Source organism: Homo sapiens, chromosome 1 (genome assembly GCF_000001405.40).
Source record: "Homo sapiens chromosome 1, GRCh38.p14 Primary Assembly".
NCBI lineage: Eukaryota > Metazoa > Chordata > Mammalia > Primates > Hominidae > Homo > Homo sapiens.
The window spans coordinates 241,124,094-241,139,183 of NC_000001.11; the positions used below are offsets into that span (position 1 = coordinate 241,124,094).

At 40.5% G+C, this 15,090-nt stretch overlaps 1 protein-coding gene and 1 non-coding gene across 22 annotated transcripts in view; one reads left to right on the plus strand and one right to left on the minus strand.

The window, feature by feature from the left end:
- RGS7 (regulator of G protein signaling 7) overlaps positions 1 to 15,090 on the minus strand; it is a 582,489-nt gene that overhangs the window by 349,352 nt on the left and 218,047 nt on the right. The window contains exon 1 of one of the 21 annotated variants that reach the window (XM_047426980.1): positions 10,774 to 10,928. The exons of the other annotated variants lie outside the window; for them this stretch is intronic. The gene's annotated coding sequence lies outside the window, so the exon portion shown is untranslated. Of the gene's footprint in view, positions 1 to 10,773; positions 10,929 to 15,090 lie in introns of those variants that run through there. 21 annotated transcript variants of the gene reach the window in all.
- Positions 8,179 to 8,253, plus strand: MIR3123 (microRNA 3123). Its single transcript, NR_036069.1, has one exon. It is a non-coding gene; the product is annotated as a microRNA 3123 (primary transcript).

Consider the following 15,090-nt stretch of genomic DNA (forward strand, 5'->3'; position numbering starts at 1 on the left):
CCCTCTTAAGAAGAACCAGGATGGGCATGGTAGCTCAAGCCTCTAATTCCAGCTCTTTGGGAGGCCGAGGCGGGAGGACTGCTTGAGACCAGGAGTTCAAGATCAGCCTGGGCAACATTAGTGAGACCTCGTCTCTAGAAAAAAAAAAAAAATTAGCCAGACATAGTGCTGCACGCCTATAGTCCCAGCTACCTGGGAGGCTAAAGTGGGAGGATCGCTTGAGCCCAGGAGGTTGAGGCTGCAGTGAACTCCATTGCACCACTGCACTCCAGCCTGGGTGACAGAGAGAGACCCTGTCTCTTTGAAAAAAATAAAAAAGAAAGAAAACAAGAACCAGAAAATGCATTTTTGTTTTCTTCTATCAAGCTTTATAAAAGCATTGGTCAACAGATGGAAGAGTGGTTTTGAGGATAGCCCTATTCCCTCTTAAGGCTGGGATAGAGGGTTAGGGATGGCATTCAAAGGAAAACGTCTACCTTTAGTACAAGGCGGTTCTATTAAAACTGTGGAGGCATTAGATGGAAGCCAGCAGTAATGCTTTAGAACCATTCTGGGCTTCCTGCAGAGTGGTGTCTGCTGGGACCTGAATCGTGGCAGGAGATGCCCAGTGCACGGGGCCCATTTGGTCACCAGCAGAAACAGGAAGGGCCCCCTGGGAGCTGAGCCAATTGTGTGGACATGTGAGACATATCTCGGGACCTCCCAGGAGAGCTATGGAAGTAGTGATAGGACACTGTAGGCGCTGCAGGTAGGCAGAGGCAAAAGCCAGCGAACTTGTTACTCATCAATGGATTCTCTCTGTACTAACTGCTGAGGCCTGAAGAAACTTGGTTATATACAGAAGTGTGAGGCCTCCCTTGGAGACTAAAGCATTTGCTCCCTCCCAAGACATTAGGCAGAAAATACTACTTGGGATGGCAGGTTGTTTTGCACGGTCATGCCCTTTTACTTCATGAGCTATAATCTAGATGTCAGCTGGGGACTCTGTGTCCTCATGGTATATGTAGGATTGCTTTGACCCTCCCATTGGACAGTGTGAAGAAGTCTTAAGCCAACTGGAGATTTGTGGTCATTCTTTTCATGGCTTAGCTCTATCCACACAGGCGGTCATTTTCTGGGCCTGCACCATGCAGAGTCCAAACTCAGTTCTTCCACCAGTCTCCATAACAATGCTACTCGCTCTAAGCATTTTATGAGGTTTCCTAGAATTCATGTAATATTTAAGGGGATAACAATGAGAGGGCTATATCTCACTGCACAGTATTCCAATTTCTCTAGGTCTTTGACCCTTTTTCCTCCAATCATCTAGATACCCGACATGCACAAAGACATGGACACACACACACACACACACACACACACGCTGAATTCATCCTCCCTTTGATCCACAGAAAACCAAGGGTTCCTCCTCTGCTCTCCCACAGAACAGCATCCCTCCCACTCAGCTTTCAGCTTCTATCCTAAATATGCTCTGCAAGGAATTTGCCCAACAAAGGCACTTCTCTAGTTAGAAAAAAATTATCATGCCAGTTGCTAAAACAAAAAAAACACTCTCTTTTTCTAAACTAATTTAGATGCATAGTAGGTGCTTAGAAAATAATAAGTGTGTAAATATTTATTACTCTAAGTAAGGTCCTCTTCAGGGTGACCCTGTACAGAAGCAGCCTGGGGCTGAGATACTCCCTATCTAATTTATAAAGGATCAGGGCAGGCATACATTAAATCCTTTTTTCTACCTCGATCTTATTTCCTCTTAGGAACTGAAAGTGCTTTCAGACATTATTTCAGTAATCCTTGCAGCTTCCCCCAATGAGAGGAAAAAATGCCCTTATCTCCAGTGCGCAGATGGAGCCCAGAGAGATGGAAGTTAAGTGACTCCCAAGGTTGCCCACAGGGAGCACAGAGAAGAAGCTAAGCTGCGACCTGGAGTCTTGGTGACCCCGTTCTAGAGTTAGAAGATAACGTTGCCTTACAAAGAGTTTTCAAATGTGGCAGCTTTTGCTCTTTGAAATGGGAATAATTGAGGTTTCCCATTTATATTTATTTATTTATTTATTATTATTATTATTATTTTGAGGCAGAGTTTCGCTCTTGTTGCCAGGCTGGAGTGCAGTGGTGCAATCTCGGCTCAATGCAACCTCCGCCTCCCGGGTTCAAGGAATTCTCCTGCCTCAGCCTCCTGAGTAGCTGGGATTACAGGCATGCGCAACCACACCCGGCTAATTTTGTATTTTTAGTAGAGATGGGGTTTCTCCATGTTGGTTAGGCTGGTCTCGAACTCCCGACCTCAGGTGATCCGCCCGCCTTGGCCTCCCAAAGTGCTGGGATTACAGGTACAAGCCACAGTGCCTGGCCCCATTTATATTTTTTGCTCTGTAATGGGGCATGGGAGTTCATGCAACGGGCTCTAGATCAAGCCTGCTTGGGTCAAATGCGCAGCTCTGCTACTCTCTAGTTACTGACCTTGGGAAAGTTACTCAGCATTTTGTTGCCTCAGCTTCAGCATCTGAAAAACAGATGTGCTAAATACAACAATATCCTTCTCACGGAGTTATTATGAGGATCAAATGAGTTTACCCCTCCTACCTCCAGCCCCCCATACACCCACTAGAGAGGTTAGGAAAGTGCCCGGTACAGAGAAATGCTACATAAATGTTAGCTATAATTATTTCTCCTTTTCGAATTGTGCATTCTTTATTTAGCAACCTTAAGTTGATTTTTTTTTTTTTTGGTCTAGGTGACAGCATTGCCTAACTATAGAAACCAACCTTGTAGAGTCCTAGGCATATAATTAAACCTAATATATCACCATACTATTGTTCACTTCTTTCTTTCCTTCCTTCCTTCATTCCAGAAACACTTTCCAAGTGCCCACTATGTGAAAGGTACGGTATTAGATTAGGTACAGTAGTAAAGGTAATTTAGAAGATAAATTTGGCCTTAGCATCTTATGGTCTAAGGAGAATATGCACATAAACATTTAAATTTCAACTCAATGTCAAGGTAATATCATAGAGAGAATCCAGAAGAAGCAACATCTAATTCTGCTTGATACTATCAGGAAAGCCTTACCTGAGGAGGTAACTGAGTCTTGAAGTAGAAATAGGAGTTATTCTGACAAATAAAAAATCCTTGAAATGTTTGGGCAATTTGTTCAGAATACATATTTTTTAAGCTCACATACAACAATATAAAAAGTAACCATATATTAGTGATAAAGCACGTCTCAACACATTTTAAGGATTGAAGTCATACAGAAAGCACAATTCTATGAAGCTAAGAATAAATTACTAAATCCGTCAATAATCCCTACTCGACAGCCATCATTCTCAGCAAACTATCGCAAGGACAAAAAACCAAACACCGCATGTTCTCACTCATAGGTGGGAATCGAACAATGAGAACACATGGACACAGGAAGGGGAACATCACACACCGGGGACTGTTGTGGCGTGGGGGGAGCGGGGAGGGATAGCGTTAGGAGATATACCTAATGCTAAATGACGAGTTAATGGGTGCAGCACACCAACATGGCACATGTATACATATGTAACAAACCTGCACGTTGTGCACATGTACCCTAAAACTTAAAGTATAATAATAATAAAATTTAAAAAAAGAATAACTTTCCATTTTATCAATTGAAATTAATAGAAGTAAAAGTTTAAATAGTGTTGACTACAAATATTAGTATATAGATGTATGTATTTGATGTAAAAACATAGTTTTGGAGATTATTCTCTTCAAATGATTTAGTATATTTCAGAAAGATAAGAGGATGATAAATTTCAACCAAAAATAATAACACTGAGCTTTTAAAAGTATACTTGAAAAAAAAGTACAGTTGCATAGATTTGAAGAGGAAATATAGAGCAGTATGTTATCTAAAAAGTTCAGAAAATGGGTCGGGTGTGGTGGCTCACGCCTGTAATTCCAGCACTTTGGGAGGCTGAGGTGGGTGGATCACGAGGTCAGGAGACCGAGACCATCCTGACTAACATGGTGAAACCCCGTCTCCATTAAAAATACAAAAAATTAGCCGGGCGTGTGGCGGGCGCCTTTAGTCCCAGCTACTAGGGAGGCTGAGGCAGGAGAATGACGTGAACCGGGAAAGTGGAGGTTGCAGTGAGCCGAGATTGCGCCACTGCACTCCAGCCTGGGCCACAGAGCAAGACTCCGTCTCAAAAAAAAAAAAAAGTTCAAAAAATGGCCAGGTGCGGTGGCTCACGCTTGTAATCCCAGCACTTTGGGAGGCCAAGGCAGGCAGATCACTTGACATCAGGAGTTTGCGACCAGCCTGGCCAACATGGTAAAACCCTGTCTCTACTAAAAATACAAAAATTTACCTGGCATGGTGGCGGTGCAAGCATGTAGTCCTAGCTACCAGGGAGGCTGAGGCTCGAGAAACGCTTGAACCCGGGGCGGAGGTTACAGTGAGCCGAGATTGTGCCACTGCACTCCAGCCTGGGTAAAAGAACGAGACTCCGTCTCAAAATAAATAAATAAATTTAAAAAGTTCAGAAAATATTTTATAATGTCAAAAATATAAATTACACAGTATATGTATATATGTAAATATATACAAATAATTTACATCTCTATAAAATATTTCAAAATTATTTTATAAAGCAACTTCCCAGAAATTGAGTATTTAAATGCTATTTGGACATGCAGAATAATAGGCAAAAAAAAAAAAAAAAAAAAAACTCTTCAGAGGAATAAGTAGGGAATTTCATACAAAGGGGTGATAACTCTTAAGATATTTTAGCTTTGGATTAATTTACATTTCCCTACCCCGTAATGATATGCTCCCTTGGGGCTAGAAAGAAAGCAAATTAAATACCAGTTGAACAACTAAATTGATTATTATATTGATATCCCTTCTTCAAAATGTTAACGGAAGGACAACTACTATTTATACACAATTAGCATGGAGGAGAGACGTAATTAAACATAACTTTAGATAATTTCTCCAAATTATACTCCTCTAACATTTTGAAAAAGTTTTTAAAACAGAAGTGATATAAAAACAGGTGAGCTTCTTACCCTCAGCCTCCATGCTATAAGTAACACTGAAATTCACCATAAGATTTTCTTGCAAAATGCCATAAATGACCTTGCGTGTTTAAGTGTACCACTGAGGGGATATTGGCTACTAGAAACAAACAAACAAACAAAAAAAAAACGGAACTCAAAACACTTCAAGCAGTAAAAGGTTTTTTGTTTGTTTTTAAATTTCACAAAATGAAGTAAAGTCCCGAGGCAGGATGATTTCAGATTTGGTTAAGTCAGATTCTTTCCGTATTCTGACTCTACATTCATCAGCATGGGACCTTCCCAGCCACGACATTATCACATTTTTACATGCCTGTGCCCAAAGGCAAAAATAGCGTCAACCTCTTACTTTTCCTTCCTCTAACTAGCAAAAAAGCATCGCCAGCACCCTCACAGAAGAAATCTCTTTAGGTCACAACAGCTAGAATTGCATTAAGTATATTTTATAAGCCAATAATCACCGGCAGAGAGAATAAAACAGACATAATCAACCCCCTAAAGAGCAGCAGTTCTCAAACTTGAGTGAGCACCACAGTTACTTGGAGAGTTTATTAAACGAGATTTCTGGGTGGAGCCCAGAAATCAGTAGGTATAGGGTGGGGCCCACGAGTCTGTATTTCCAAAAAACTTCCAGGTGTTACTGATGCTGCTGGTCCTTCTACAAACCCCCTGCACTGCCCTAAAGCACGTGGGAGCATCTTAGCAAAGGGGTGGGGGAGGTGGCTCAGGTAATCAACCAAAGTGCATCTGAGATCTAATATTATTTTAAAATTGCTTTTCAAGAATTCCTATTACTTCAAATTAAAGATGTAACTGAGTGTCTTCTGAGTATTTTAGAATTGCAAATTTTGATATTCTACCATCACTATGCTCCACCTCTCTGAAGCCATTACTAGGGCAAGGATATAGTGAGAAAGTTTCTGTCACTGCTAAGCAAGTGCATCCTTCAGATTGCCAATGTGTCATTGTAGTTGGAGCTATTAAACTTCTATGTGGCATGAAAATTGTTTGGCTAACTTTAAAAAGGAGAAAAAAATGGAAGTGGAGGTTAGAATTTTTCTAGCCCAGCAAGAACCCACTTGGTAACCACTTTTAGATAAAAAGCCCAAAAATAATATACTTCACCAGATGTTCCTTTAATTTTCCAGGGATTAATTTGAGAGTCAATTACCTATTTTAAGTGATTAACATAAATTAAAAAAAAAAAACACTAGGCTCTGAACCAATGCTTTTAACTGTATGATGGACCATTGTTCATTTCCGATACTTTTAAGAACTAGGATGATTTTGACACATTAAAAAATGTCCTGGAATGAATTTGCTATTCTGCTTGGCAACATTTGAGGAAGTAAATACTGCTACAAATCCTTTAGGTAGCTTTCAATTGTCCATGTCTGTTAGTGAGAAGAGGGACAGTAAGAAAAATGCTAAGGTCAAATTCACTCATGACTTCATGCCAAAAAAAAGGTATTTCTGAGTTGATAACTCTAAAATCTTTTTCTAAGTAGGGACAAGAATTACTAATAACAAACAGTGGAAAACATACTGAACTAAAACACAAAATATCTGAATTTTACAGGTCATTTAACTTCCCTGAGCATTGCTTTCTTATCTGAACCTCTAAGGATTGGATTTGGTGTTTGGTTTCTTTTTTATTTTTATAACATCCCTTTCAGATATAATCCAAAGGTGACATCTCCTTTCTCTGTCCTATCCATCTTTGATGATATGTGTTAATAACAGTTAAATGCAAAATAATAGGATAAAAGGCTTAATTACAAAAAAAAAAAAAAAAAACCAAGAGGCCAGATAATTCTACTCTGGAAGAACTGGCTGTAACATCATGATGATGGCAGCAATTTAGAAAGCCACATTAACTTTGTTACAGAGATTTATTTAACGCCAGTTTGAAGAATGACGTCTTTATGCCGATGACATGATTCATTTTTTTTTAATGAGTAAAATGTGTTTTTCTCCATTAGACTTTACTCTCTGTACCTTGAAAATAAAAATACCTTTCCAGTGTCATGCATGAGTCATATTGATTCTCAAATTAAACTAAACACCCATAGCACATAGGAAAAAAAAGCCAAATGACAATTTAGAAATGTAAGGGAATTTGAATGTCTACTCATTTACTTGAATCTAATCATTAAGATGAGGATGTTATTTCACTCTTTCTAGAACAATAGTTTTCCAACTTGAGTTTGCATCAGAATCACCAACAGGACCAGTAAAAACAGACAGCTGGACCCAACTTCCAGAGTTGCCAAGTCAGTGGGACTATGTAGGGCCTGAAAATTTGCATTTTTAACAATTTCTCAGGCTACACTGGCTGATGTTGCTGGTTGGGAACCACACTTTGAGAACTACTGTTTGTAGAAGACTGGTAAAAATTGGTAGGTGTAAGAAAGATATTCTTTTTAGATATATGTCTGGGAGCTGGGGGCAAAGTAGAAAAGCATTTAAAAAGCAAAAATGAGAGACACCTGAACTGTCATGCATTTACCAGAATTTTCTCTCATAACGTGGCAGCCTTCACTGTCCTCTTTCCTTTTTACTATTCTAAATCAAAACATTACAAATGTACAAGCTGGAACTGATTATGCATAATAGCTGATGTTACTTCACTGATTAAAAACAAAAAAGCAATAAACTTTGGCTCCCTCTGCAAGCTGCCCATAATAAAATGCAGAGGAAATATTTATTAATCAAGCAAAGACTGAAAGACATTTCGTTAATGGTCTGCCTCATCACATCAGTTTGAATCACATTACACATCCCGTTAAGAAGAGATGATGCTTAAAAATACAGAAAACTAAATGTGGCATTATCATCCATCCCAACTGGAAAATGTGATGGATTGTCCTTAATAGAAAGAGTGGTAGTCTATTCATGTGGTATGTCTCGCAAAGGACCGCCAGGCTCCAAGAGCCAAGTATTCTGATCACTTTTTCCTTAATGAGAGGCTCCCATAAACACAATTTAATCCTCTTTGAAAACCTGAGGGCTATTTTGTGTTTAAGTGGCATACACAGAGATCATTAAAATGTAAAAGAACTGTGCAGGGAGGCCCAATTTTTTTCCAGGTGGCCATGCATCAGAATTTTGTTAGAATGTAACATGGATTTGATTGAATGATTCTCCCATTTCCACATGGAGAGTGGAGCCCAGAGAATTGTTTAATCATGTATCCATGATTCAATATTCATTTATGGAGCACCTATGCTGGGCCAGAGGTACTATGAGTGGGGATGACAGGATGGATGTGACAGACAGGACCCCTGTCCCCATGCAGTTTACAGGCTATATCAGTAATTAACAAGAACTAAAATACTTGGCAAAGAGGAATGCTTCCATCAATGTTTGTTTAAATTAAAGGAAAAAAACAAACCCCACAACGAAATAATCAATACAGTTGTCACAAGTGCACAGGACAGCATGAAAGCCCATGACACATATTTTGGAGAAGAGGTACTTCCATTTTTTTTGGTGGGGGAGGTACATTAGCCTCAAATTTCACAGAATACATGCAATCTCAAAGTTAAAAAATGGGTTTTACTGTTAAGGTCTGTCAATAATTCAACTTATTATTTGTTTGTTTGTTTGTTTGTTTGTTTGTTTGTTTGTTTTAGACGGAGTCTAGCTCTGTCGCCCAGGCTGGAGTGCAGTGGCACAATCTCGGCTCACTGCAAGCTCTGCCTCCTGGGTTCACGCCATTCTCCTGCCTCAGCCTCCCAAGTAGCTGGGATTACAGGTGCCCACCACCAAGCCCGGCTAATTTTTTGTATTTTTAGTAGAGATGGGGTTTCACCGTGTTAGCCAGGATGGTCTCGATCTCCTGACCTCGTAATCCGCCTGCCTCAGCCTCCCAAAGTGCTGGGATTACGGGCCTGAGCCACTGCGCCCGGCAATTCAACTTATTAATACTAGAATACATTTTCTACAGAAAAAGTTGTGAAAAATTGTGATATAATTGTATTGTAGTACATTGTAAAAATTACAATACAAGTGAAATGCTTTTTATTTACATTTATAAAGAATAGAAAATGTAATCATAAGAAATAAGAGAAAAACCATTTTTACATAAAATTGAATATAAACAGCAATAAATGAAATCGACTATATATCAATTTGATAAACCACAGAGAAAAAAATAATTATTTCAAATAATTTTTGAAAATAGTTCTTTGACCCATTTTAATGGGATGTATAAGTCTAAGGGCAAAAAAAAAAGAAAAGGTCTGAAAGCATACCTTAAATTTATTAATGGGTTTGTTAGTAGTGATATTCTAATTTTGAGACAATATTGTAGAAAACTAAAGAGATAGGTTGATAATATTAGCCACCATAATTTTTTTTCTAAGGGAAAGGAGATACAAATATAAAAAAAAAGAAACCAAGAAAAAGAACACTCATAATATTAATTTTCTCCCACTTAATTTTTCTGTAATACTAAATTTGAATTGAAAAATATAGTGTGAACCAAAGATTATAAACGTAATTTCCCTTAGGGTTTCTACTGAAAGGGTTTAGAAACATTGACACAGTAGCAACAAGCAAATTTAGTTCCCTGATCCTGGTTTCTAAATACCATTCCTTACAGAAACAACAAACAAACAAAAAACAAACCAGTTAATACCAAGTTTAGGTTTGGTCAAGGTGAACTGGTGACAATTTGTTGTGCCAAACACTAATTTAAATCAAACTATGTGAAAGAATTCAAAAACTAGCTTCAAAAAGCATTCATGAGTTCACAATAAGAAACAGGGAGAGAGAGAGGCAGAGGGAGAGAAAGAGAGAGAGAAAGGGAGACAGAGAATGAATGAGATGCCCTCCAGCAAAGGAAAGCAGTAAGTCCACGACATCATCTATCCTTGCCAAAATGTCTATCCTGGATCTAATAAAGCATCCCATCCTGCACTGCCCAATATGGTAGCCATTAGCCACATGTGACTGTTTAGATTTAAATTTAGAATAATTTAAGTTAAACAAGTTAGAATTTCTTTTCCTCTATCATCCTAGCCCTCTCACATATGGCTGGTGGCTACTGTATTGGGTAGCACCAACGAAGAACAGCCATCCTCACAGCAAGATCTGTCGGGCAGTGCTGCTCCAGACCTATCTTCCAAATTATATGGAAACCAAGAAACCAAGTTAAATGACACTACGGGGAAACCATATGACAAATCCAGACTGACAGAATGCCGTGGGACTTCTACTAGACTATTAGCCTGAACTCTTCCAAAAGTAAATTGTGTTTGTGTGTGTGTGGTGTTTGAACACCTACATATGTATATAAAATGCAATTATTATTGTATACTACAAAGATGTAAGAGAGGTAACAACCAAATGTAATGCGTGAATCTGGACTGAATACTGAATTAGAAGGAAATCTGGAGAAATCTGAGAATAGAATGGATATTAGATGACTATCCCCACACCTACGCCATAGAAGCGGAAGTCACTCTTGTTGTTTATAAAAGGCCCACGAGGGAAAGTGCCCTACTTTTTCCCAGAGAGGGGAGGGGCTTGCGGGAAATGAATGGGAGAGAGTTGAAGCAGAGTGCTGAGAAGAGGGAAAGATTTACCATAACTGGAAAGGAAAAGGAGTTTTACTAGTTCCTCACTGAAAGATTGTCCCCGGGGCCTGAAAGCTTGAAGAGATGAGAAACTCCTCCCCTTTCAGGCCCAGTCCCAAGGCGCAAGGCCACTTACAGTAATCAGCAGCGTGGGTCAGCAAGACAGCGGAAGCAGGACGACAGCCGGCCGGAAGACACCTACCCCGGCCGGAAGACACCTACCCTGGCCGGAAGACACCTACCTCTGAAGATGGAGAAGGAGGCCGTCCGGGTACTACGTAGCAGTCAGGTCAGTCTGGGACATTTCCTGTTTACAGAGGACTATAAAACCCCTGTCCTGTCCTCATTTGGGGCTGACGCCATTTTAGGCATCAGACCGCCTGTGCCCAGGCGCTCATTAAAACAGCATGTTGCGGCCGGGCGCGGTGGCTCATGCCTGTAATCCCAGCACTTTGGGAAGCCAAGACGGGCAGATCACGAGGTCAGGAGATGGAGACCATCCTGGCTAACACGGTGAAACCCTGTCTCTACTAAAAATATAAAATAATTAGCCGGATGTAGTGGCGGGCACCTGTAGTCCCAGCTACTCGGGAGGCTGAGGCAGGAGAATGGCGTGAACCCGGGAGGCGGAGCTTGCAGTGAGCCGAGATCGCGCCCCTGCACTCCAGCCTGGGCGACAGAGCGAGACTCCGTCTGAACAACAACAACAAAAAACAAAAAAAGCAGCATGTTGCTCCACACGGCCTCGTGTTGTCTGTTGGCGTGCTCTTGGGTTCGAGCTGAGAACCTTACACTCACCACTTCCGGGATGCCTCCCCTATCTTTTTGCAACTCTTTTTTGAGGGAATAATGGCACTGGGTTTACCTAGGGAGAAAGGATACTAAACTCTGGGGCTCCCAGGTTTGGCAGGCTCTTGTGGAAAAAAACCTGCCCTTGAAAAACCCCTAACCAAAGAGCTTTGAACAAGATGATCTGAGTGGGAACTCCTTCTCCCACGTGGTGTGGCCGGCCTCGTGTCTATTAAACTCTCTACTACAATGTCAGTGGCCTTTTTTTATTATTTTTTTTTGAGACAGAGTTGCCCAGGCTAGAGTGCAATGGCGGGATCTCAGCTCACCACAACCTCCGCCTCCCGGGTTCAAGCAATTGTCCTGCCTCAGCCACCTGACCAGTAGCCTTTCTTTATGCAGTGACAGGACGAATCCCTTGGGTGGTTACATGATAATGACAAAAAAAAAAAAAAAACTAGTTTGTTATTCTAAGAAAGACATATTTGAAAAATGAGAAAATTTGTTGACTGTGGACAATAAAAGACAGTGTTACAAACAATATATGAGTCTTTTTAAGAGGAAATAAAATGTATCAAATCAGATCTATCGTCCACCACATCCCTCCTTCACTAGCCGGTAGGTGAAGCTCTTTCAAGTGGGTGAGGGTAGATGGTGGAGGAAAGATAAGTTTTGTTCAATTAAAAAACATGTATAGACAGTCTGCAGTGTCAGACACTGTGCTAAGCTCCTCATTACTTCAGGAGCTTGATAAAAATACTGATTTCAAGGCCCAGCTCCCAGAGATTCTGACTGAGTCTTTTTCTAAGGTGGGGTCCAGGAATCCTCATCTTTGAACATTGGTCTTCACCCTTTCCACAAGGAATCACAGTGGAGACTTTCATTGGATGGCACCTTGTGAAAACCTGCCCTAGTGTTTTGGAGATAAGGGGGGGGATGTTCATGGGGTAGAGGGGAGTGTCACTCTGGAGCACTCTCCTGCCTTGTGTGGCCACAGCACAGTCCCACAGTGAGGGGCCACGTGGCACTGCGCACCGATCTTGAGCTATAGTCACAAAGCTCCTAGGCACCACCCACGAAAGGCCGGGTGATGGCAGAACAAAACCATCTGGAAACCTGAAGATGGCTATCTTCTCTTTTGCAGAGAACAAAGAAGATTACGTGTTTTGTTCCTACCTTGATTTCATTTTCAGTTCTTTTGGACACTGCCTTAGTTCAGCTCAAGTGCATTTGTGATTTCACATGTAAAAAAAATTACAAATGAGCATCATATTATTCTTGCTTAGTGTTCACAATGCTTTGGCGTCCAGGCTATGTTCCCCTTCCTTTGCATTAAAAAATGTGTAATTTTCATATGTTAGAGCTAGAAGGGCACCAAAGAAGCCATGAAGATGAGCTTTCTGTTAATCTGTTGGTGGCTTGCATCATCATTGGATGATGCCTACTGAAGCAAACGCAAAATTCTATTATAAAGCTAATTCTTAAACAATGTGCATTACATTCAGCTGCTGTGGCCACCTTAGCTGAGGAAGACATTTCTAAGGGATGTATGGTCCCTGAGGGCTCTGTTTAGGCATCATATCATCAGGAAGTTTATCCTTATTCATTCCTACTCCTTCCTCTCTCCCCTCAACTCTGGGATCTATGTTGTTCAATGTTGTACTATCAAAGACCGTATTTTATTGGCATTTTTTTTTCCTTTTCTTTCTCTCCTGCTGTGAGCTCCTTGAGGGAAATTTATGTTTCCCAGGTCTTTGCATTTCTAAGGCTACAATCAGAAAGTGACACAAAGTCTACATTAAAAAACTTTAATGAATTATAATTATGAATTATAACCAAATTAACAACACTGAACCTATTATTAATGATTTAAGATATGTAGAATGTTATTGATATCTTTATTCATTGTGTTCCTTTTATTGTTGTTTTAGGGAATATAAATATGTAAGCGCTTACTTGTGGTGTTTTATGACTTTGAGCCCCCAAATTTTATATTCATTATCAGATCCTGAATGTTCAACTGCCACAACTTCCATCACAGGCCAACTCAGGCTGTCCTAGCAGGCTGCTGGATGCCAGTCACATTAGGCTCAATTCAGGATGCAGTATGTGCTGGAGCTGGCACACACCTGCTCAAAGGAGCTGATCCTTAAATTTTCAGGAATTATGTGAGAAGCTGTTAAACAATGGATAGCTTGAAATTGGCAATGGCAGGAGTATCTATACCAAAGCAACTGGCAAATACTACAAATCATATCACTGCTTCTAATGAGTTACAAAGGTGTGTGCTTACATGCTACCCAAAAGGAACTTGAAGGCCTTCATGTGAAAAGATCATATGAATAAACACAAAGAAATTAGGGAATAATGGCCGGGCACCGTGGCTCACGCCTGTAATCCCAGCACTTTGGAAGGCTGAGGCGGGCAGATCACCTGAGGTCGGGAGTTCAAGGTTAGCCTGGCCAACATGGTGAAACCCCATCTCTACAAAAAATACAAAAATTAGCCGGGTGTGGTGGCAGGTGCCTGTAATCCCAGCCTACTTGGGAGGCTGAGACAGGAGAATCACTTGAACCCGGGAGGTGGAGGTTGCGGTAAGTTGAGATCATGCCACTGCACTCCAGCCTGGGTAACAGAGCAAGACTCCATCTCAAAAACAAAAAAAAAAAAAAAAAGAGGAAATTAGGGAATAACAAACTAAACCATAATCAAGCCCTAAATTTAATATAATCAAGAACCAAAAGTTATAACACAGGTAAGTGATACAGGTATCAGAAATGGGAGATGTCACAGTCAACCAAAATTGTGGGGGGATCTTCAGTGAGGAGTTGGAAAGGATGCAGGAAAGAGAGGAGAGGAATATCTTCAGGATCAGGAACCAGCTGAACACAGCTGAACACATGGAGCCAAGCACCTCACATGTGTATAGGGGAGAGTAAAGAGGGCAACACGAATGCCACACAGCATGCAGCCCTCAGGGGGAGTCCACTGCACACACGCCTGGCTTCTGTGGAACTTGGTTACTGGAAGTACCACATCTGTTGTCTTGGTCCAGCTGTAGCAGAGCCATGGATACTTAAGAGTTTGAGAATTAAGGTGATTGCGTAGCCGGTGCCTCCTCTATTTCACCTGTCTTGCTTATTGTCTATATCCTCTGTTTAATCCTCATCTCGACCCTTTCCATTTATGATTAGAAGTTCTCTTCAAAAATATTTCTTTAAAAGCTTTGAGGGCTATTTCCATTTTTTGCTATCTTCATTTTTGTTAACAGCTTTCCATGGTTTTCCTCATAATATATGCTTTTTTTAAAAAATATAACAAATCCCCATAATCCAGATTAAAGCTAAACAAACGCACCAGGCATTAAGCAAATCACAAACTCCAGGCTTTTTTCTGTAATACATGATACAAAACAATCAGTAACACTCAATTCCAGGACCAACGAGAAGGGAGACATTATAAAAAATTTAAAATGTCTCAAAATTCTGTCACTACAGATTGGCCTTTTCTGAACATTTCATATAAATGGAACCACACAATATGTGTCTGGTTTCTTTTACTTGGCAGATTTTTTTTTTAGGTTCATCTATGTTGTAGCATGCGTCAGTAGATTGTTCCCTTCCTCATTCACACCCATCTTCCTCCCTTCCTTCCTCTCTCCCTC